The sequence below is a fragment of the Homo sapiens genome, chromosome 17 (genome assembly GCF_000001405.40).
Source record: "Homo sapiens chromosome 17, GRCh38.p14 Primary Assembly".
Classification (NCBI taxonomy): Eukaryota; Metazoa; Chordata; class Mammalia; order Primates; family Hominidae; genus Homo; species Homo sapiens.
The window spans coordinates 81,276,979-81,296,846 of record NC_000017.11 but is presented as its reverse complement, the minus strand read 5'-3'; the positions used below and the strand labels follow the sequence as shown (position 1 = coordinate 81,296,846).

General features: G+C 56.3%; 1 protein-coding gene across 6 annotated transcripts in view, besides 7 other annotated features; it reads left to right on the top strand.

The window, feature by feature from the left end:
* Positions 875 to 964: an enhancer, noted in NCBI's record as "active region_12961". NCBI's record gives its function as "activates an Ori minimal core promoter by ATAC-STARR-seq in GM12878 lymphoblastoid cells {active_cell/tissue: GM12878}" and the evidence as "EXISTENCE:reporter gene assay evidence [ECO:0000049][PMID:35858748]".
* The window catches only part of SLC38A10 (solute carrier family 38 member 10), a 50,497-nt gene continuing 32,168 nt past the window's right edge, over positions 1,540 to 19,868 (top strand). For 3 of the 6 annotated variants that reach the window (NM_001037984.3, XM_005257019.2, NM_138570.4), the window contains exons 1-7: positions 1,540 to 2,024; positions 7,039 to 7,156; positions 11,952 to 11,997; positions 13,345 to 13,438; positions 14,515 to 14,658; positions 16,114 to 16,238; positions 19,714 to 19,816. In NM_001037984.3, the coding sequence (NP_001033073.1) occupies positions 1,926 to 2,024; positions 7,039 to 7,156; positions 11,952 to 11,997; positions 13,345 to 13,438; positions 14,515 to 14,658; positions 16,114 to 16,238; positions 19,714 to 19,816 (729 nt within the window). In that variant the 5' untranslated portion in view covers positions 1,540 to 1,925. Of the gene's footprint in view, positions 2,025 to 7,038; positions 7,178 to 9,497; positions 9,503 to 11,951; positions 11,998 to 13,344; positions 13,439 to 14,514; positions 14,659 to 16,113; positions 16,239 to 19,713; positions 19,817 to 19,868 lie in introns of those variants that run through there. The other 3 variants (XM_011524289.2, XM_011524288.2, XM_011524290.2) reach the window with 2 other exon arrangements.
* Positions 1,625 to 1,894: a silencer, noted in NCBI's record as "silent region_9123". NCBI's record gives its function as "represses an Ori minimal core promoter by ATAC-STARR-seq in GM12878 lymphoblastoid cells {active_cell/tissue: GM12878}" and the evidence as "EXISTENCE:reporter gene assay evidence [ECO:0000049][PMID:35858748]".
* Positions 1,995 to 2,064: a silencer, noted in NCBI's record as "silent region_9122". NCBI's record gives its function as "represses an Ori minimal core promoter by ATAC-STARR-seq in GM12878 lymphoblastoid cells {active_cell/tissue: GM12878}" and the evidence as "EXISTENCE:reporter gene assay evidence [ECO:0000049][PMID:35858748]".
* Positions 10,904 to 11,198: a silencer, noted in NCBI's record as "tiled region #13761; K562 Repressive non-DNase unmatched - State 1:Tss". NCBI's record gives its function as "represses a minimal TATA promoter and a strong SV40 promoter by Sharpr-MPRA in K562 cells {active_cell/tissue: K562}" and the evidence as "EXISTENCE:reporter gene assay evidence [ECO:0000049][PMID:27701403]".
* Positions 10,904 to 11,354: a biological region, named in NCBI's record as "Sharpr-MPRA regulatory region 13761".
* Positions 11,025 to 11,354: an enhancer, noted in NCBI's record as "active region_12960". NCBI's record gives its function as "activates an Ori minimal core promoter by ATAC-STARR-seq in GM12878 lymphoblastoid cells {active_cell/tissue: GM12878}" and the evidence as "EXISTENCE:reporter gene assay evidence [ECO:0000049][PMID:35858748]".
* Positions 14,445 to 14,958: an enhancer, noted in NCBI's record as "H3K27ac-H3K4me1 hESC enhancer chr17:79255689-79256202 (GRCh37/hg19 assembly coordinates)". NCBI's record gives its function as "activates a minimal SCP1, AML or CMV promoter by ChIP-STARR-seq in naive H9 embryonic stem cells {active_cell/tissue: H9 hESC(naive)}" and the evidence as "EXISTENCE:reporter gene assay evidence [ECO:0000049][PMID:30033119]".

Below are 19,868 nucleotides of genomic sequence, written 5' to 3'. Positions count from 1 at the left end.
AAGAAGGTGCTGGAACTGGGGAGGAACTGAAAGGGAGGATCTAAGTCTTCGGTAATATTTTGTTCTTAAAGCTCAATAGCGGGTCCATGGTATTTGCTATTTGTGAAAACATACATGTAAATTGCCCAGCCTACCTCGCATGCATAACATTTGATGAAAATTACATAATAAAAAGGAGGTTATGGAATGTGTATGCCATTTCATTTATATAAAAGTAAATGGGCTGGGTGCGGTGGCTCATGCCTGTAATACCAGCACTTTGGGAGGCCGAGGTGGGCGGATCACCTGAGGTCGGGAGTTTGAGGCAAGCCTGGCCACCATGGTGAAACCTGGTCTCTACTAAAAATACAAAAATTAGCCGGGTGTGGTGGCGGGAGCCTGTAATTCCAGCTACTTGGGAGGCTGAGGCATGAGAATAGCTTGAACCTGGGAGGTGGAGGTTGCAGTGAGCCAAGATCACACCACTGCATATACAGCCTGGGCGACAGAGCAAGACTCTGACTGAAGAAAAAAAAAAAAAAGAACGCAGGCATTTGTTATTTTGCCTGCGTATTTAATTAGTCTTTACCCAGGCATTTCCTCCTGTTCTCCTGAAGGTGGGGCACAGCCTTACTTGGTGGCTGCACTGCCAGTGCCTGAGGAACGGGCCTCTGTTCTAAGACACCTGGTCCTGCAGGTGCTGCAGACACGGCCTCCTTTCCTCCGCCGTCCTCCCCCAGCAGCCTGGAATCACTTGCTGCTTCCCAGCCATTCGGTCTACGCGCTCATTCATTAGACTCAGAGTGAGCAGCTAGGTGCCAGGAATCCACAGATCTATCGGGACCCTTCTCTGTTCTCTCCTCTCCCCGGTCTCCATTTCTACCCGAGGAATTCTCATTTGTCCTTCAAGCTCCAGCCTAGAAGCCACCTCCTTCTGGAAGCCCTCCCGGGTTTCCCTGTTCATGTAAGCCTCCACCTCTCCTGTCCCCTCCAGGAATGTCCCTTGCTCTTTTCGTGTGAAAAGGTGAAGTTCAACATTGCCACTGATCTGGGCGCAGTTCGGCAGGGCACCGCCTCCCCTTGGAGCTGTGTGGCCTTAGCGGAGTGGCCGAGCCTCTCTGTGCCCAGCGTTTCATTCCTACCTCCTAGGTGCTAATTCCTCACAACAGACTATTTTTCGGCTGAGGCAGTCAGGGCCCCCGCCCCCGTGCCCTGGCGCCAAGCACTCGCCCCAGAATCGGTCCTGGGAATAAAGGTCAAAAAGGAACCCTTAAACCCGCTCCTCCCCGGAAGGCACAGCGCCTCCCCTTCTCTCCAGCCCGCGACTGCCCATCCAAACCGAGGCCTCGCGGGGCGAGTCCCTTGTCCTCCAGCTCGTTGAACTGGGGCCCCGGGCACAGGTCGGCTGGACCAGCTTGGCGAACCGGACAGCTGCGAGACCCTCAGGTGCCCACCGGCCCAGTTTCCGCCCGCCCCTCCGGGCCCGCCTCTCATTGGCTCGCGTCCCACCAAACCCTACCCCCTGGCCGTCACTTCCGGGCAACGGAGCCCGTGGAAGGCGGAAGTGTGAGCGCCGCGGCGGCAGCTGAGTTGGGCTGAGGTGTCCCTAGCTGGCTCTGCGGCTCTTCCGGGTCTGGGCTCGGAGATTCACAGGCGGCCCGCGAGGCCGAGCGAGGGACGCATGGCCCTGAGGCGGCCGCAGGGCTTGGCGGGGTCCGGAGGTTGACCTCGCCCCCGCAGCCGGCCTTCGAGGCTGCCTCCTCCAGGCAGCCTCTGGGGCCCGCGCCCGCGCCTGCTCAGGCTCCCGTGTTCAGGCTGCCCATCCCCTCCCCACCGGCGTCCCGGACGTTGGGACCTGTGACCGTGGCCTCGGGCTGGGCTTCCAAAGCCGGCCGCAGCCCGGCGACCCCCGAGGCCTCTCGCCCCGGGCCCCTAGACCTCTCACTATGACCGCGGCCGCCGCCTCCAACTGGGGGCTGATCACGAACATCGTGAACAGCATCGTAGGGGTCAGTGTCCTCACCATGCCCTTCTGCTTCAAACAGGTGAGTCCGGTGGGCCCGGAGATCACCGCCCTCGCCTCCCCCGCAGAGGGGGCGTCTGGCTGGGTCGTCCTGGTTAAAGTTCCCGCCGGGGCAGGGCTTCGCTGGGCGGGTGCAGGCGGCCGCGGGCGGGGCGACCCTCTGGGTCCCGGCGCAGTTCCCGTAGAGAATCCGTGGATGAGAAGCGCACGGCGTTGGCCCTGGCAGCCCTTGTCAGCCCGGGCCGGAAAGTTCCCCACACTCAAAAACTCGATACCGAAGCAAAGTGTAACAAAGCAAAATGATCCTCCAGAATCGGAAGGGAACGGTGGGACTCCGTATTTTTACATTTTATCGTGTTTTTAAAAACTCTGACCCAACTGCACCTGTCTTCAGAAGCACACAACTCACCACTCCCAGGCTTCGACACTAGATAGGGACCTTGGTTGCAAGGTGATTAAAAACATCCACCAGGTTATACACCTAAGATCTGCGTTTCACAAAAACCGCACATTTGGCAGGGGGTGGTGGCTCACACCTGTAATCCCAGCACTTTGGGAGGCCGAGGCGAGTGGATCACCTGAGGTCAGGAGTTCGAGAACTGCCTGACCAACATGCTGAAACCCCATCTCTACTGAAAATACAAAAATTAGCCGGGGGTGGTGGCACATGCCTGTAATCCCAGATACTTGGGAGGCTGAGACAGGAGAATAGCTTGAACCTGGGAGGCGAAGGTTTCAATGAGCCGAAGGTTGCAGTGAGCCGAGATCACGCCATTGCACTCCAGCCTGGGCGACAGAGGGAGACTCCGTCTCAAAAACAAAAACAAAAAACTGCACATTTGATCTAATGTGTGCAGACGTTACCACAGTTGGAAAAAATCTCAAATACAAAAAGTTTAGCGTCATTCCAGCATTGAATAACACATGAAAGAAAATGGCCATTTCTAAGTGTCATCTGTTTAATCTACAATAAACAAGCATTTAGTGCTTTGGAAAAGAAAGGCTGACTGAAACGTTACCAAGTAGGTAGAAAAATGAAAACAACATGTATATTTTGAAACAAAGTGGCACCAGTAGTTTAATTTTAGATTAGCTTAGCAAACACTGTGTTTTTCATATTCATTATCTTTGGAATAAAAATATCCAAAAAATTTTTTCAGCCTGGGCAACATAGTAAGACCCCGTCTCTACAAAAAAAATTAAAAGTTAGCTGGGCATGGTGGTGCATACCTGTAGTCTCAGCTGCTCGGGAGGCTGAGGCAGAAGGATCACTTGAGCCCAGGAGTTTGAGATTACAGTGAGCTATGATTGCACCACTGCACTCCAGCCTGGGCAACACAACAGTACCCCATCTCTAAAAAAAAAACAACTTTTTTTTGATCAAGGAATTTTCAAACCCTCCCGTGCAGCCCTCCAGGCTGTTGTGTCTGAGTTGTTTGCCTGATATGGTTGGTGAGCCTGTCAGGGGAAGACAGGGCTACATGCCTCCAGAGCCCCCCGGGCAGCATCTGGTCTGGGCGTGGAGAATCCCAGCTTTCTGCCAGCCACCTCTGGGTGTTTCTGGACTGACTCCATGTCCCAGTGTCCACTGTGACTTGCCTGGCAGCAGAACTGCATTCTGGCATGTGGAGCAGTAGCTGGTCCTTCTCCTGCAAGTCAAAGACTGTTATCTTTGTTTTTTCAAGACGGAGTCTCGCTCTGTCACCCAGGCTGGAGTGCAGTGGTGCAGTCTCGGCTCACTGCAACCTCTGCCTCCAGGGTTCGAGTGATTCTCCTGCCTCAGCCTCCCAAGTAGCTGGGATTACAGGCATGTGCCACCACGCCGGCTAATTTATTTATTTATTTATTTATTTATTTGTATTTAGTAGAGACAGGGTTTCCCCATGTTGGTCAGGCTGGTCTCGAACTCCTGATCTCAGGTGATCCACCCACCTCGGCCTCCCAAAGTGCTAGGATTACAGGCGTGAGCCACCGTGCCTGGCCCCAAATGCTGTCATCTTTGATGCCTGTCGGTGAAGTGCCACCGTGGAAGGGGCTCTGGTTTAGACACCTGTGAAAGTACATCTTAGGGCCCAGACGATCCAGCTATCTCGAGCCTTGGACCACCTGCCATGTGGTGGACATTAGGCCCCTGCCAGAGCATGTGCTGATTAGCCGGGCATCTGCACAGACCTGTCAGGAAGTGAAGGACTAGAGACGTCCTTCTGAGTCCTGAGGGCTGCCCAGAGGGAGGCCCAGTTGCTCTGATCTGGCCGCAGCGTCTCCTCCACGGCAGCCTTCTTGGACTGGGGCGCAGGGAGACGCCAGCAGGCGATTTGGGGATGTGTGTGTTTAGTGTTTGGCAGCCTTGGCATTGAAAAACTTTGGATTAGTGTTTTTTTTTTTGTTTTAGTAGTTTTGATATATTTATATATATACATAGCTGGGCGTGTTGGCTCACGCCTGTAATCCCAGCACTTTTGGAGGCTGAGGAGGGTGGATCACGAGGTCAGGAGTTCAAGACCAGCCTGGCCAAGATGATAAAACCCCATCTCTACTAAAAATACAGAAATTAGCTGTGCGCGATGTCAGGCGCCTGTAGTCCCAGCTACTAGGGAGTCTGAGGCAAGAGAATCGCTTGAACCCGGGAGTGGAGCTTGCAGTGAGCCAAGATCGCGCCACTGCACTCCAGCCTGGGCAACAGAGTGAGACTCTGTCTCAAACAAACAAAAATATATATCTATATCTATATCTAGATAGATATAGATATAGATCTATATAGATTATATATATAATAAACATTGAAGTTTGACATACAAAAATGTGTACACACTTCTTTAGATGTGCTGTTGATGAATTTTCATATGACGAGCAAACCCGTGTGACTAGCTCCCAAATTAAGGAGCGTACTCTGTGGCCGTGGCGGCCTACCCGGGGCACACTGCTGACCCCTAGTGTGCCACGGTGGTGCTGCCTGGTTTGAACTGAGGTGGGTGGGTCCTGCTGTGCAGGTGTCTAGTGCGAGTGTCTGGCTTGCGTTCTGGTGTCCGCTGCACCGCCATGCGTGTCTGTGTGTAGTTTACCCCTGTGAGGCATTTACGGTGTCTCCTATTGGGAGCTCTTGTGATGCCCTGAGGAGTTGGACAGGCGTTGGCAGGGGGTGGTTTCTGCTGGGTGCGTGCCTGTGTGGAGTGGCCGGGCCCCAGGGTGCGTGTGCTCCGCTCTGGAGCTGCCATGTGGGTGCAGTGGTGCACATGCCGGCCCGCATCCCCGGTAGCATTGGGTATCGTGTCTTTTCCGCTGGAGCCATTCTGATGAGTGCTTGGTGATATCTCATGAGTTTTTGGTATTAATAGACTTACTTTTTTTTTTTTTTTTTGAGATGGAGTCTTACTCTGTCACCCAGGCTGGGGTGCAATGGTTCAATCTCAGCTCACTGCAACCTCCACCTCCCAGATTCAAGCAAGTCTCCTGCCTCAGCCTCCTAAGTAACTGGGATTACAGGCGCCCACCACCAAGCCTGGCTAATTTTTTGTGTGTGTTTTCAGTAGAGGTGGGGGTCTCACCATGTTGGCCAGGCTGGTCTCGAACTCCTGACCTCAAATGATCCACCTGCCTCGGCCTCCCAAAGTGCTGGGATGACAGTTGTGAGCCAGTGTGCCCAGCCGGACTTATGTGTTTGAGCAGTTTTAAGTCTACAGAACAACAGACTGGAAAGTGCAGCGCCCCCGCCCCCCTCACCGTCCAGCTAGGTTCACGTGACTGACGTCTCGCACTAGTGTGGCGGTCCTTGTGTTTTAAGTGTCACCTCGATGGAGGTAGTGGACATGCAGGAAGATTCACTCTCTTTTTATTTTCTCGAGGCGGAGTCTTGCTCGGTCGCCAGGCTGGAGTGCAGTGGCGCAATCTCGGCTCAACTGCAACCTCTGACTCCCTGGTTCAAGTGATTCTCCTGCCTCAGCCTCCCAAGTAGCTGGGATTACAGGCACACACCACCATGCTCAGCTAATTTTTGTATTTTTAGTAGAGATGGGATTTCACCATGTTGGCCAGGAGGGTCTCGATCTCCTGACCTCGTGATCTGCCCACCTCGGCCTCCCAAAGTGCTGGGATTACAGGTGTGAGCCACCGTGCCCGGCTGATTGACTCTTTTTAGGGTGCAGGTCATGGGCTTGCTGTGTAACCACCACAGTCAAACAGAACACACAGCTTCATCCCCCAGAGGGTCCCCATGTGCCCCTTTGTCATCAGCCAAATCTCCACACCCCCAGCCCCTGGCAACACTGAGCTGTTCCCTGGCCTAAAAGTTTGCCTTTTCTGAGTTTCCTGTAAACAGAATGACACTGTTTGTAGCATTCAGAGTCCAGCTTCCTCTGCTCAGCATGGTGCGTTTGAGTCCCATCCGTGTCATGGTGGGTGTCAGTAGTCATCCCTTTTTCCTGCTGACTAATATTCCCTTATTCGAATGGACCACAGTTTGTATCCATTCGCTTGTTGAAGGACATTTGGGTTGTTTTTCCATTTTTGGGTTGTGGATAAACCTGCTGTAAACATTGGCATACAGGTTTTTCATGAACACGTTTTCATTCCTCTTGGTAAGTGAATACCTAGGGGTGCAGTTAATCCCCAGGTCACACAGTAAGTGTCTATTTAACTTATGAGAACGGGGAAAATGGCATTTTTAATCTCTTCCAGAATGTGTTCATTACTTGTAGCTGTGGACTTAAGTGGCTAAAGATGGTGCATGTAGGGTGTGTGCAGAGAACAAGGGGGTATTAGTTGGCAGCACCCCGCTGTCCATGAAGACTTGAGGTGGGGACTGGGAAGGAGATGGCACCCCTGTGCTCTGCGCATACAGCTTCATCCCTGGACAAGGCGCGCGGCCACCACAGCAAGGAAATGGCCCTTTCAGTGCTAGGAAGTGTCGCGTTCGGCAGGAGACTGGGATGGAGCGGGGCCTGGGGGTGAAGAGGGTCCTCATGAGCCGCGTGTGTGGGGTGAGGGCCTCTGGGGAGCACCTGCTGCTGTGAACATGTGTTCCTGTCTCCACCCTGCAGTGCGGCATCGTCCTGGGGGCGCTGCTCTTGGTCTTCTGCTCATGGATGACGCACCAGTCGTGCATGTTCTTGGTGAAGTCGGCCAGCCTGAGCAAGCGGAGGACCTACGCCGGCCTGGGTGAGGCGCCCTCTCCACAAGGTGGCTCTGGACCTGGGGCGGGGGCCTTATTCCATTTATTTATTTATTTATTTACTCTACTTGATTCTTCAAGAATTCCTTGGATAGCAGGGTTTTTTTTATTTTAAAATGTAATGCTGCAAAAAAATGAGCCGGGTGTGGTTGCACGTGCCTGTCGTCCCAGCTACTATTTGGGAGGCTGAGGTGGGAGGATCACCTGAGCCTAGGAGTCTGAGGTGGCAGTGAGCTGTGATCACGCCATTGTATTCCAGCCTGGGTGACAGAGCGAGACCCTGTCTCAAAAGAATTAAAAATCAAATTAAAAAAAAATGCAGTTAAAAAAAAAACCTGCCGGGCGTGGTGGCTCGTGCCTGTAATCCCAGCACTTTGGCAGGCCGAGGCAGGCGGATTATTTGAGGTCAGGAGTTCGAGACGAGCCTGGACAACATGGTGAAACCCCATCTCTACCAGAAATACAAAAAATTAGCCAGACATGGTGGCAGGCATCTGTAATCCTAGCTACTCAGGAGGCTGAGGCCAGAGAATCTCTTGAACCCGATAGGTGGAGGCTGCAGTGAGCTGAGATCACGCCACTGCACTCGAGCCTTGGTGCCAGAGTGAGACTCTGTCTGGAAAAAAAAAGAAAAACCTGTTATAATCACATGCTTCAAAATTGGAGTGACACAGAAGGGTATGAGGCGCCAGGTCTCCCTGTCACCATGCCCTCCTGCCCGCTCCCATGCAGGTCCACACAAGCTTCCTCTTCTAAACTCAGACCAAGACAGCCGTCCTCACCGTGCTGGTGCAGACCTGCTCTCTCTGTGTCTCTCCTGGACACCAGATGCCTTCCTGCGGAGCTGCCTGCAGAGAGCCTTGCTGTTCTCCCCAACTCGGAATTCCATGGAGGAAGCTCCTCAGGCCTGGGCTGTTGCTGGAGTTCAGTGGCTCCTCTCCCAGTGGCTGTGTCCTTCCCCTGATGCTGTTGGTTGCAGTTTTGTTTCCCTTAGTTCTTTCTTGCTTTAATGCTGTTTCAGCCAGGAGAGAAGGCTGCGCTTTCTGCTTCATTTCAGTGTGGAATATTTTCTACGTTGTTTGTCTTCGAGGGCGCCATCCCTCACCTTCCCGTCTGCCCACAGGCTGTGTGGCCCGCGCTGTCTCCCTGCCCGCCACAGGCTCGGCACCTCTCGGCTCCACGTTCCATTCTGGGGGCATCCAGCCTGGGTGTTGAAATTCCAGCATCCGTGTTCTCAGGAGTTGGCCCTGTGGGTTTTGGTGAAAACTCTGGCCTTGTGATGAAGGCTCTGGACCTTCCAGCCAGTGTGCGGCTGGGATGTTAGGTCCTCCCTGCAGAAGGCCATCCTGCCCCCCGGGCTCACAGCTCCCGCGGCAGAGTGAGGAGGTGGCGGGAGAGGAAATGGTGTTTAGGGGTCCAGGGGGCCAAACAAAATAAAAACACCTGCACGGTCCACACGTGGGTCCTGGCCTCCCAGCCTCCACTTCCTCCCAGTCCCCTTCATGTTGCCACAGAGAGTCCTGCGTTCGTTTCGGCCCTCAGAACCGGAGGGGATGTATTCCTTCTCCTCCCTTCCTGATGAGAATGGTGCTGTCAGAGTCTTTTCTTGTTGTTATTTGAGGAAGTGAAGTTCACTGTTAAGTTTGATCCACAGTGAGATGGCCTAATGCAACTTGGGCTGAAAGATGCCTACCGGATGCCAGGAGGCACCGTGCCTGGGCGGGCCCCTTCCTGGGTCTGCAGAGCTGTGGCCTGCAGGGCGACCCTTTTCTCCTCACTGAGGTCTCTGTATAGGGTTTCTGTAGCAGAGGCCCCAACTCCAGTCCTTGGCTGTGTCCTGGAAGAAGACCGGTGACCCAGGGCTGGGGAGGCCCCCATTTCTGATAGCCAGCTGTCTATTCATTCAAAGTCCCTGAAAAGTCAAACCAGTTTGGCTACATGTGAAGGACTGGAAGAAAATTGCCGGGTGGGTGCTCTTCTGTGCTGCCTGGAACTCCTGCCTGAGCTTCCAACCTTTACCTGCATGGGGTGACCGCAGTCCACTTCTGCCTGCCAGAAACAAAAAAGATTCCAAAACACCAAGTGTGTCTCAGGTTATGCCTTTGACACCAAACACGGTGGTTCCACTGCGTGAGCTCCGGACAGAGGCCCCTGGGCCCAGCTGCTCCGCGTCAGCTGCAGTGTGCCCTGGCTCGTCTTAGAAGTGGGGAGACCCGCGCTGGGAGAGGCGTCCCTGGGGAGGGTAAGATGAGACTCTCCTGGAGCTGAGGCGAGGCCCTTGTGCAGAGTGGACAGCAGCTCCACACTGCAGTCTTCAGGAGGCGCCGGGCTGGGTCCCGTCCTCGCACACAGACTGACTTTCCCTGGGACGGCTGGGTGGTTTCCTCCGAATGGCATCTGCCCCCACCCAGGCATAGGTTTGCGGTGTAATGGTTCCTCGGGTTGGTTAGCCTGGGGAGGTGGCCGCTGATCGCTTTACCCTCCCCGCTGTCCTCCAGTGCCATGTGCCAGCCTGGAGAGGTGTCGTTTTTTGTTGGTGTTTGTATATTTCCCTGTCCTATTTGCTGTTGCTGGTTGCAGGTGGTTTTTGTCGTTTTCGTCACCTTCTCACTTGCTGCTTCCTTGCCCTGCGTGTCTTGCTTGGACATGGACTTTTCTAAATCCCCTCTTCAGAAGACACACAGATACATCAGTCATTCAGCCTCCTTCAGCTGTCGCGGCTTCTCATGAAGCTGTTCTGAGCCCCAGACCCTGCCCTGTTGAGAGTTGTGCCTGAACCCTGGCATGCGTGGTCTGGGCTAGAAACCGCCTCCCCCAGCAGCAGGGACTGTTTGGCCCCCACGCGGCCTCTGAGTTCTCGGTTGTGAGCAGCGGTGTCAGGAGTGCTGCCCGCGTCCTTTCGTTGGGTGGTCCAGGCTTCTGTGGCTCCTGTGCTGGCTCTGGGGGAGATCTGACTGCACCTGGGGTAGGGTACACCCTGCATGGAGGCCGCGCCCTCAGAGCTCGCCGCTCACAGATACCTCCAGCCTGGCAGGGGCTGGGCCCGCACTGGGAGTCCACACTCGGGGGAGGGCTGGGTCCCCGGGACCTTGCTGGGCGCTTCAGCCTCTTCCTCCCTTTCTCTGTGCCAGTCCACGCAGGATGTGAAGGAGTGGGGTCAGTCCAACTGGGGCTGGTGTTTGAACCTGGGGAGGAGAAGTTGCCGAGGGATTGACACTGGGAATGGCGGGTGAGGGTTTGGCCCAGGTGGGGAAAAGAAGGCGCGTGGGGCCGTGTCTCAGCGTGGTGGGCTCTCAGGACGTTGTCCTGGGAACCAGAAGAGAGTGCTGCCCTGATTTCCTAGACAGCCTCCCATTTTCCCTTGCCAGTGGCAGGCATATTCCGGAACCTTCTTGGGCAAGGTGCGCTCGTGTTTGGAATATGCTGTAGAGACTCAGCTTCCTTTTGGAGAATGAAAAGGCACATTATGGCCAGGAGCAACTTCATGTTTGGAGCGCCGTGTTTTGTTGCTTCCGGGCTGTGCCGTCACTGAGGGGTGTGGAGGGCGTTCCTTGGTGACAGCAGGGCCCTGGGCTGTGGGCTGCTGAGGGGGCTCCTGGAGTTCTTAGTGTTTGAAACTCTCCACAGCCTCAGGTCAGCTTCTGGGGCCTGGCTCGGGTTTCCGTGTTGTGGGATGAACTCAAGGGGTGCCAGGCTTCTTCAGCGAGCCCATAGGCAGGTCCAGGAAAGGCCAGGGTGAGCCCTGGAGGTGGGGTCTTTGCTGCTCCCGGGCTCTGGCGTTTGGCAACGCTGTGCTTCTTCCTAAGTAGTTTAAAGTAATAAGGAGTGTTTTTTGGACCCATTCATAGTTACTAGCCTGTGTGTTTCCTGCTTTCCAAAGCTCATCAGAGGCCTGTAGCCCGTGGGAGGAAGGAAACCAGGGGCAGGAAGCTGGGGCTGCCGACGGGGCTGGGCCATCCTGCCACATGCACCGCATCTCTGGGTGCGCCTTGGAGCCGGGACTTCCCTTTGCCCTTCTCCGGCTGGGCCGTGGGGGAAGCGCGGGGGTCACCAGATGACCGCTCGGGGCCTGGGAGGGACCCTGCTGAGTCAGCGCCGTTTCTCATCTGCTGCAGAGAATCCCGCGGTCAGGGCGGAGAGAATGGCGGCTCCTTCCGCATTCGGCCGCCCCGTCGGGAACGCATGCTCCTCATCGGCAAGGCTCCTCATTAGCTGTCCACGTGGACACCACAAGCCCAGGGCTCTCGTCCCCTCCCTTCCTGAAGCACCATGCTCGAAAGGAGTCTCCATTTGTTTCTATAAATCCCAACCAAAGGGTGAAAATGAAAGCCCTCCGTCAGAGTCCCTCTGGTGCAGGCTGTGGCGCTCGGGTACCTGGGACCGGCACTGAACCCTCTGGGGACCTGCAAGCTCTGGCCAGCAGCACGGGGTTCGGCCGTGCTGGGCTGTGGGATGCTGTTTCCAGCCGGCCCCCAGTGGTCACCGGGTGGGAGGACTGCATCGCAGGGACTTGTCTCTTTGTCTGTTAAAAAATCTGATTGAGTGAAAGAAGAACCTGCCTCCTGTCCTTCCCTTGCTCTGTCTTTGTTTCTTGTAGTTTCATTTGCAGACAGTAGATCCAAAAATAACCTGGCAGCCAGAATTTGAAATACCCCTCATGCCCCGGAGAATCTGGGCCCGTGGGTTTCTGTGAAATCGCCCTTGACAGCTTGGCTCAGTACCTTTGTTCTGGACGAGCTTCTCACGCTGTTGGATTGAGTGTTCCTTTTTCTTTTGCACTAGCATTCCACGCCTACGGGAAGGCAGGCAAGATGCTGGTGGAGACCAGGTAAGCCCCGCCCTGCCGCTGCGCTTGCCCCCCACCCCCGCACCCAGACACTGGGGACCCTCCCGGTGGGAGCGGCAGTTTCATCCCCAGATTCACCTGTAACTTAGGTTTCTGAAGAGTCGCTAAATACATGAAAGTCCAATTACTTGTACCCTTCAGTGTTGTAAGAAAAATTTATGTATGGAAAACTCCAAGAACCTGGTAAACAGTCCTCCCTCAGTTGTAGTCTCTCAACACCATTCCTCAGCACCTCACCTACCCCTCAAACACCGCTGCATAAAGGTGGCATTACATTGCAAATGTCATATTTTTCTTCCTTTGGCATAAAATTTCATGAGATGAAAAAATTTATGAGATGAAAAAATCGCTGGGAGATTGCACTTCTAGGCTTCTAAATTAGGGAATTGTAAACTCAAACGAACAGCCTTTTTTGAAAGCAGTTGATTGTTCTCTTAACTTGACTAACATCGTGGGGCTTTTTCAATTTTTTTATTTTTTGAGATGGAGTTTTGCTCTGTCACCCAGGCTGGAGTGCAATGCTGTGATCTCGGCTCACTGCAACCTCCCAGGTTTAAGCGATTCTCCTGCCTCAGCCTCCGAAGTAGCTGAGATTACAGGCGCGTGCCACCAGGCCCAGCTAATTTTTGTATTTTTAGTAGAGACAGGGTTTTGCCGTGTTGGCCAGGCTGGTTTTGAACTCCGGATCTCAGGTGATCCGCCTGCCTCGGCCTCCCAAAGTGCTGAGATTACAGGCGTGAGCCACTGTGCCAGGCCCATCATGGAGATTTTTGTAACTTTTAGAGCCTCCGCAGAGGGGCGAGTATAATACCAGGCTGAGAAAAGCTGAGTGTCGTTTGGTGTGCATGCCAAGTGACATAGCGAGCGCCACAGAACCTGCCCGCGCCCTGTGAACTGGGGCGCGTTTGAAATCACATCTGTTGGCCAGGCACAGTGGCTCACGCCTGTAATCCCAGCACTTTGGGAGGCTGAGGCAGGCGGATCACAGAGGTCAGGAGATCGAGACCATCCTGGCTAACACGGTGCAACCCCGTCTCTACTAAAAATACAAACAATTAGCCGGGCGTGGCTACTCGGCTACTCCCAGCTACTCGGGAGGCTGAGGCAGGAGAATGGCGTGAACCTGGGAGGCGGAGCTTGCAGTGAGCCGAGATCTCACCATTGCACTCCAGCCTGGGCGACAGAGTGAGACTCTGTTTCAAAAAAAAAAAAAAGAAAAAAGAAATCACATCTGTCATTCAGCCCAGCCTTGGGGTAGTCCCTGGCGGCAGCCCAGGTGTGTGCCAGCTTGCCCTGATGGCATTTCCCGTACCCCCCGTCCCTGTGCAGCATGATCGGGCTGATGCTGGGCACCTGCATCGCCTTCTACGTCGTGATCGGCGACTTGGGGTCCAACTTCTTTGCCCGGCTGTTCGGGTTTCAGGTAAGGATGTGTTCAGGGTTCTGGGTTGTTCAGATGCTGACGGCTGCTCTGAGGCCCTCTGTGGGATCCTCCCGAGGACCGAGACCTGGGTGCTGGTCGGGAGAAGCTTCTGTCGAGCCTGCTGTCATTCTAGGGGCTTGGTGGAGTGCGGGGGCTTTGCTGGGTCACGTCTGTGAGAGGTACACGCGAGGAAGCAAGCCAGGCAGAGTCTGACACCATGTAGATGAGGGGCGGGTGGGGGAGCCTCAGACCCGGGCACAGTGCAGAGCAAGTCTCTGCCAGCCCGGGCTGCCCATTGGAGGGCAGAGGCGGCCAGGCCCTCAGGCATCCCCGGCCTCCATGGTCACCCAGAGCTTCTGGGGGCTGTGGACTCAGCACTTCTTGCAGGGACCTTGGGGTAGCCTCCTCCGTGCTTGCCCCCCACCACAGAGAGGCCCACCTGACGGGCCCACACACCTTTCCCTCGCTGCCGGGGAGCAGAGCCCCTCACTGGGCAGGGCAGGCATCACGGCACGTTAGGGTGCTAACAGCGTAGAAAGGCTTTCAAAGGCCACTGAGGCGGGGGTGTCCTCTCCAGGAGTGGAATGTACCAGATTCGCTCCTTGTCAGAGACAGTTCCAAGGAGCATCCAGGGAGCTAGGTCCCCTACTCTGTCTCCCCATTCGACCTTCCGTTTTCCGTGCTTCGTAGTGGCCTTTGTAGCTAGAGCTTTGGGCCCGTCCTGCCCACAGGGCAGTCTGCACCTTTCCCACCCCTCGCCCAGGGCAGCTGAGTCCGACTCACAGCCACTGTGTTGCCTCCCGTGTTAGGGGGGCTGCTGTCCTGCTCTGGCTGGTCTCGCTGTGGGGCTGGGCTGGGCTCCAGGGAGGGGAAATACCCAGTGTCCGAGGCTGCACACGGCACAGTGGCTGTGAGAGCGGCTTCGGGCGAGTGTGCCAGCCTCAGACCCGCCGGCGTCATTCACCTGGATGCCGTCGGCTTTCGGGCTCGGGGCGCTCCCACTCCCTGTCAGTGCAGAGAGCCCGGTGGTGAGCAGGCACGGGCTGTGGCCAAGACCCCCTGCCGGCTCCCCGCAGGTGGGCGGCACCTTCCGCATGTTCCTGCTGTTCGCCGTGTCGCTGTGCATCGTGCTCCCGCTCAGCCTGCAGCGGAACATGATGGCCTCCATCCAGTCCTTCAGCGCCATGGCCCTCCTCTTCTACACCGTGTTCATGTTCGTGGTGAGTCGGCAGCGCGCGTGGGTACCCGCTGAAAGGCTGCTCCTGGCCCATTCTTTCCTGTGGCCACAGCAGGCTCGTGCCCAGGTCTGGTGTGGCCGCCTGCTGCCTCCTGGGAATGTGTTGGAAGTAGCAGGATGTACCAGGAAGTGCCATTCATCTCATGGTCCCTGGGCACCATGGGGCAGACGGGGCTGGCTGGACCCAGGTGCGGTTGGCTGGCAGGAGAGGCTGGGGCTCAGGGCAGGGGTGGCTCTGAGGCTGGTTTCATGTCGTCCAGGCAAGGTGAAGGAAACTCCAAGTCCACTTGCTTTATGCAAAGATGTCTTATGTAGGGTTTGTGACCAAGGCTCACGGTGCCAGTGTTTTGACACAAGGTGGCAAGCTATTGTTGTTTGTTTGTTTGTTTGTTTTTTGAGACGGAGTCTCACTTTGTCGCCCAGGCTGGAGTGCAGTGGCGCAATCTCGGCTCACTGCAACCTCCATCTCCTGGGTTCAAGTGATTCTCCTGCCTCAGCCTCCCAAGTAGCGGGGATTACAGGTGCCCGCCACCACACCTGGCTAATTTTTTTTATTTTTAGTAGAGAAGGGGTTTCACCATCTTGGCCAGGCTGGTCTCGAACTCCTGACCTTGTTACCCACCCGCCTCAGCCTCCCAAAGTGCTGGGGTTACAGGCATGAGCCACCACGCCCGGCCGCTATTATTTTTCTAAATGAGAATTTATAATAGGATGGACTAGGGGCCAGCTGTGGAGTTGGCACTGAGAACACGGATACCACCCAGAGCCCCCAGCACACCCTCCATTCTCTGCCAGGCCCCTGCCCATAGGAGCCCCAGGACCCGAGCCCCTGGGACCTTCCTGTTCCCTGGCAAGGTCAGAAATGACCCTTCCTGAGTGGCTGGAACCTGGGTGTCTCACAGCGGGTTTGCACCAGGACGAGGCCAGGTGGTCATTGAAGCCAGGGTCTCCAGTGCTCCTCAGCTCTCCGAGTGAGGGCCAGCCCAGTGGCAGCTACCTCTTTACTCTTGAGACAGCCGCGTCCTGGTGGGCCAGTCTTTTGGAAAATGTCCATGTCTAACACAGTACAAGATGGGGAGGGACCTGCCCACGTGGGAAACCAGCCTCTGTAACCGACGGAAACTGGGGCCATGCATGCTCAGTGGTCTCCTCCCGTCTGCGCCAAGCAGCCCCCTTGCAAGAGCAGCTGCTCTGGTGCCCGCGGGATGAACCAGGGTGCTCTGAGGCAGGGGTTGGGAATCCAGAAAGGCGCGGGGTCTCCCTGCCTCCAGCTGGCGGCACAAGGCGGCACAGGGCGGCACAGGGTGGTGGGGGGCTGGGATGTGGGTGGGAAGAGCTGCACTCTCCTGCCACTCCTTCCTAGCGGCGCGTGGGCCGGGATGCTGAGTCCCGCCTGCGTCCTGACCTGCCCCGTGCTCTCTCCCCTCTCCCTCTGCAGATCGTGCTCTCCTCTCTCAAGCACGGCCTCTTCAGTGGGCAGTGGCTGCGGCGGGTCAGCTACGTCCGCTGGGAGGGCGTCTTCCGCTGCATCCCCATCTTCGGCATGTCCTTCGCCTGCCAGTCGTAAGTGTCCTGCTGTGGTCTGTGGTGGAGTTCTGTGACGGGGAGGGCGAGCTGCTGGGAGACGGGACCCTCTCTTTCTCGTTTACTGTGATCGCTCTTTGCTGGCTGCTAAAGAGTGATGTCTTGTTCAGTGATGACCTTTCCCGCCCCAGGTTGAGGGAGATAGTTATATTTTAATCGGGAGGTAAATCGGCTTCATTCCTGGGACATGTTTGGGACTAGCTGGTGAGAGTCCCTGGTTTGCCAGATCCCCACAAGCAGAGCATTGGCTGTGGGGGATGCAGCAGCAACCCAGCCATCTGACTGCACAGAGTCGAGCGCTTCGCCAGAATTTAGCTGTTCTGAGAATATTTAAAAGGAAATGGCACAAACATTGACTTCAGACGGCTGCTGGATGCATTTGGAGGCCTGCATGTGCGCGCGAGCCTGCTTTCTCTCTGGCACGCAGGGCTCTGTAAATGTGGATCGGGCTCTTCCATAATTCCAGCAGCATTACCTTCTCCACCAAAATGACAAGAGCGAGTGATTCGTGCCCGGTTGGAACATGGTAACCGGCTGAAAAGAGAGGCGTAAATCCGGCGCAGACGGGAAAAGACCATCGGCATGCGGGGGGCTGGCAGAGCGGCCCCTGTAGCGTTAGTGGGCATGCATTGAGCCAATCGTAAACTAATGTGACAGATGAAATTTGTTCATACCGCTGTGTTTACACCCACATGCGAGATCCAAATCGTCATTTCCCACTTAGCGTCTCTCTTGGCAGCTCCATCTCCACCAGAACGCGCCCCAGTCTTGCTGTTTAATATCCCATTATGATCGGTGACAGAAGCCGCATTCTTCCGCCACGTACCTAGTTACCAGTTGCCCTTTGTGTCTGCGTGTTTGCATATTTAGAAATAAATCTGCAGCTGGGGCTTTTTGGTGGTGGCCACGTAGCAGCCGGTGCACCTCGTTCGGGTCTGGTTCCGGAGTCAGGTGCTGGGTTGAAGCGCTGGAGCGTGCGGCTCAACAAGTGCAGCTTTCCTTCTGTCCCGCCCTGAGGATGTGCAGGCCCACGGATTCACCTGACATTCTCCCCAGCAGGGACATCCCTCCTTGTGCTGGCCGCTGCGCTGACCTCCCCACCCCTGTGCCGGCCGCCGTGCTGACCTCCCCACCTCTGAACCCAGGAATGTTTTCTGAGAGCAGAGACATCTCTTCCCTCCCACAGCGTCACTGCACCAGAGTGCCTGTCCCTGTTGGGTGGCGGGCCGCGCCCCCTGCCTGTGTGATTGGCCTGGATGCCAGCTGGGGCCAGGTCTCCCTTGTGCCTTCACTATCTGGCCGTTTTTGGTAAATGCATACCTGGTTATGCAGAATGGTTGTCCTAGGCCCAGAGAAGCAGCCGGGCAGCACTGAGCCCAGGAGGCCCTGGAGGTCAGGGTCTATCTGGAGACCAGGGTCCCCATCCTCACAGTAGGGCAGAGGGGCACACACCCAAGAGCTGCATGTGGATGGCTCCATTTGACTCTGGTAGGCCCTGAGGCTCAGAGGCTGCCTTGCAAGGTGGGCGGGCCAGGGATGCTCCGTCTGGGGCCATGGGCCAGCGCTCAGCATGTCCCCCATCTGTGGAGCTCCTTTGCAGGTGGCCAGGAGGTTTTGTGGCTCCTACCTTGTTTCTTTCCAGGGATGATCCCGGGGGTCCCTGGGGTAGGTGGTCAGGATTGGAGAGGAGCCTGGGGCTTGGCCTTCCACCCTGGCCACCCCGTGTGCGTGGGACACCCCTTCCCACAGTGTCCGTGGCTTCCTTGGGGGTCACTCCCCACAGGGTGTATTGGGGGCTGGGGGTAAGCACGTGTCATGGGGCACCAACGCTGGTCCCCTCAAGCCAAGACTCCCTGGTGTGGACTCAGCTGTGGCGAGAGGACAGTTTAGCACTGGGAAGTTCATGCCGCAACATGGCCTTCTTCTGTAGCTGTGGGTCTAGGGCCGTGGAGACCTCTTGGGTGTTTCTCCTGATTCTCTGCCAGCCTCCTGGGGCTGTGTGCACAGGCGTTGGCCACTTAGCTCCCTTCTAGCCTGGGCCGAGGGGAAGGCTCATGTCCTGCGGGGTCCCCTGACTGCTGCTGATGGCACTCCATGCTGAGGGCGGCCTGATGGGATGGTGTGCTAGGACCTGGGCAACGGGACACCAGCAGCTGCTGGCAGGACCTTCTCACTTGTCAGTCTGCTGGGTTTTCTTTTTTTTGGAGATGGGGTCCTGCTGTGTCACCCAAGCTGGAGTGCAGTGATGCGATCACAGCTCACTGTAGCCTCGACCTCCCGGGCTCCAGTGATCCTCCTGCCTCGGCCTCCCAAAGTGCTGGTATTTGGGTGTCAGCCGCTGTGCCTGGCCTGGTTTGCTTTTTAATAAAGTCAGGATGTCCTGTGTTTTCTTTCACTTTCTTCAAGGCGGTTTGGGATTTGGCTCCGCTGGCCGCTGTGCTGGTGATGTCCTGTGTTTTCTTTCACTTTCTTCAAGGCGGTTTGGGATTTGGCTCCGCTGGCCGCTGTGCTGGTCCATTTACTGGCTGCTGGCTTTCTGCATCCCGCCCTCCCCCGGCCCACCTAGCTTCCTTTGTGCCCTTGAGCCCCTGCCCTGGGACAGCCATGGCCATGGCCACCTGGACACCCTAGGAGCACCCCCCTGGACTCCCACTCCAGAGTCCTCGTTCAGCCCCATGGCAGAGCAGCTCTCACCTGTGCTCTGGCGTGTGCCTGGCCCAACTCCCTTCTCCCCGGCTGCACACAGATGCTCCATGGCCCCAGCCTCTCCCTTGTCGTCTCGCCCACCCCTTTCCAGAGGCCCAGGTCCCTGTGCAGGTCCCTCGGATGCGTCTGCTGCCTGTGCAGGGCTGTCATGTCCTTGCCTGGCTGGTGGCTTGGGTCCCTCCCACCCCTAGCAGCACCACACTCCTGGCACCAGGCTGTGGGACCGAAGCCAGTTTTCTCATCACACAAGTGAGAGGCTGCAGTGGGGAATCGCGCCCCAGGCCGCCTCCTTGTCTGTGCCGACTCTGATCATGCCTGTGCGGAGGCGCCGAGATGGAGGCGCCGAGATGGGCCGGCCGCCCAGGCCAGGGTGTGTTTGTTTAACTTTCCCTCCTCTTGACAGCGATTCTCTGAGCAGCCTCCTCCGGCTGCTTGCCCTGTAAACTGGCTGCTTTGACTCTCAGCACCCGCTCCCTGGCGTGGAGCAGCAGCCTGTCGTTCTGTAGCCTTGGGGAATGTTCGCATGGTGCACGCTCTGGGGGGTGTCCTGAGTGGGGGCTGCTGCAACGCTCCTGTCCTCAGCAACACCAAGTCCTGGCCTCAGCGCTGGGACTTCCAGTGTGCAGAGAATGTTGCATGAAGGAAGGTCAGAGACTCTCACTGGGCTGCAGAGAGGTCCTAGAAGTGGAGCCGCTGGGGAGGGCGTGCCTCTCTCAGGTCCGCTGTGAAATGGCCTGTTTCTATACAGCCAGGTGCTGCCCACCTACGACAGCCTGGATGAGCCGTCAGTGAAAACCATGAGCTCCATATTTGCTTCCTCCCTTAATGTGGTCACCACCTTCTACGTCATGGTAAGAGCCTTGCCACGCCCTCTCCGCCCCTGTGTCATGCCAGCATGATGTG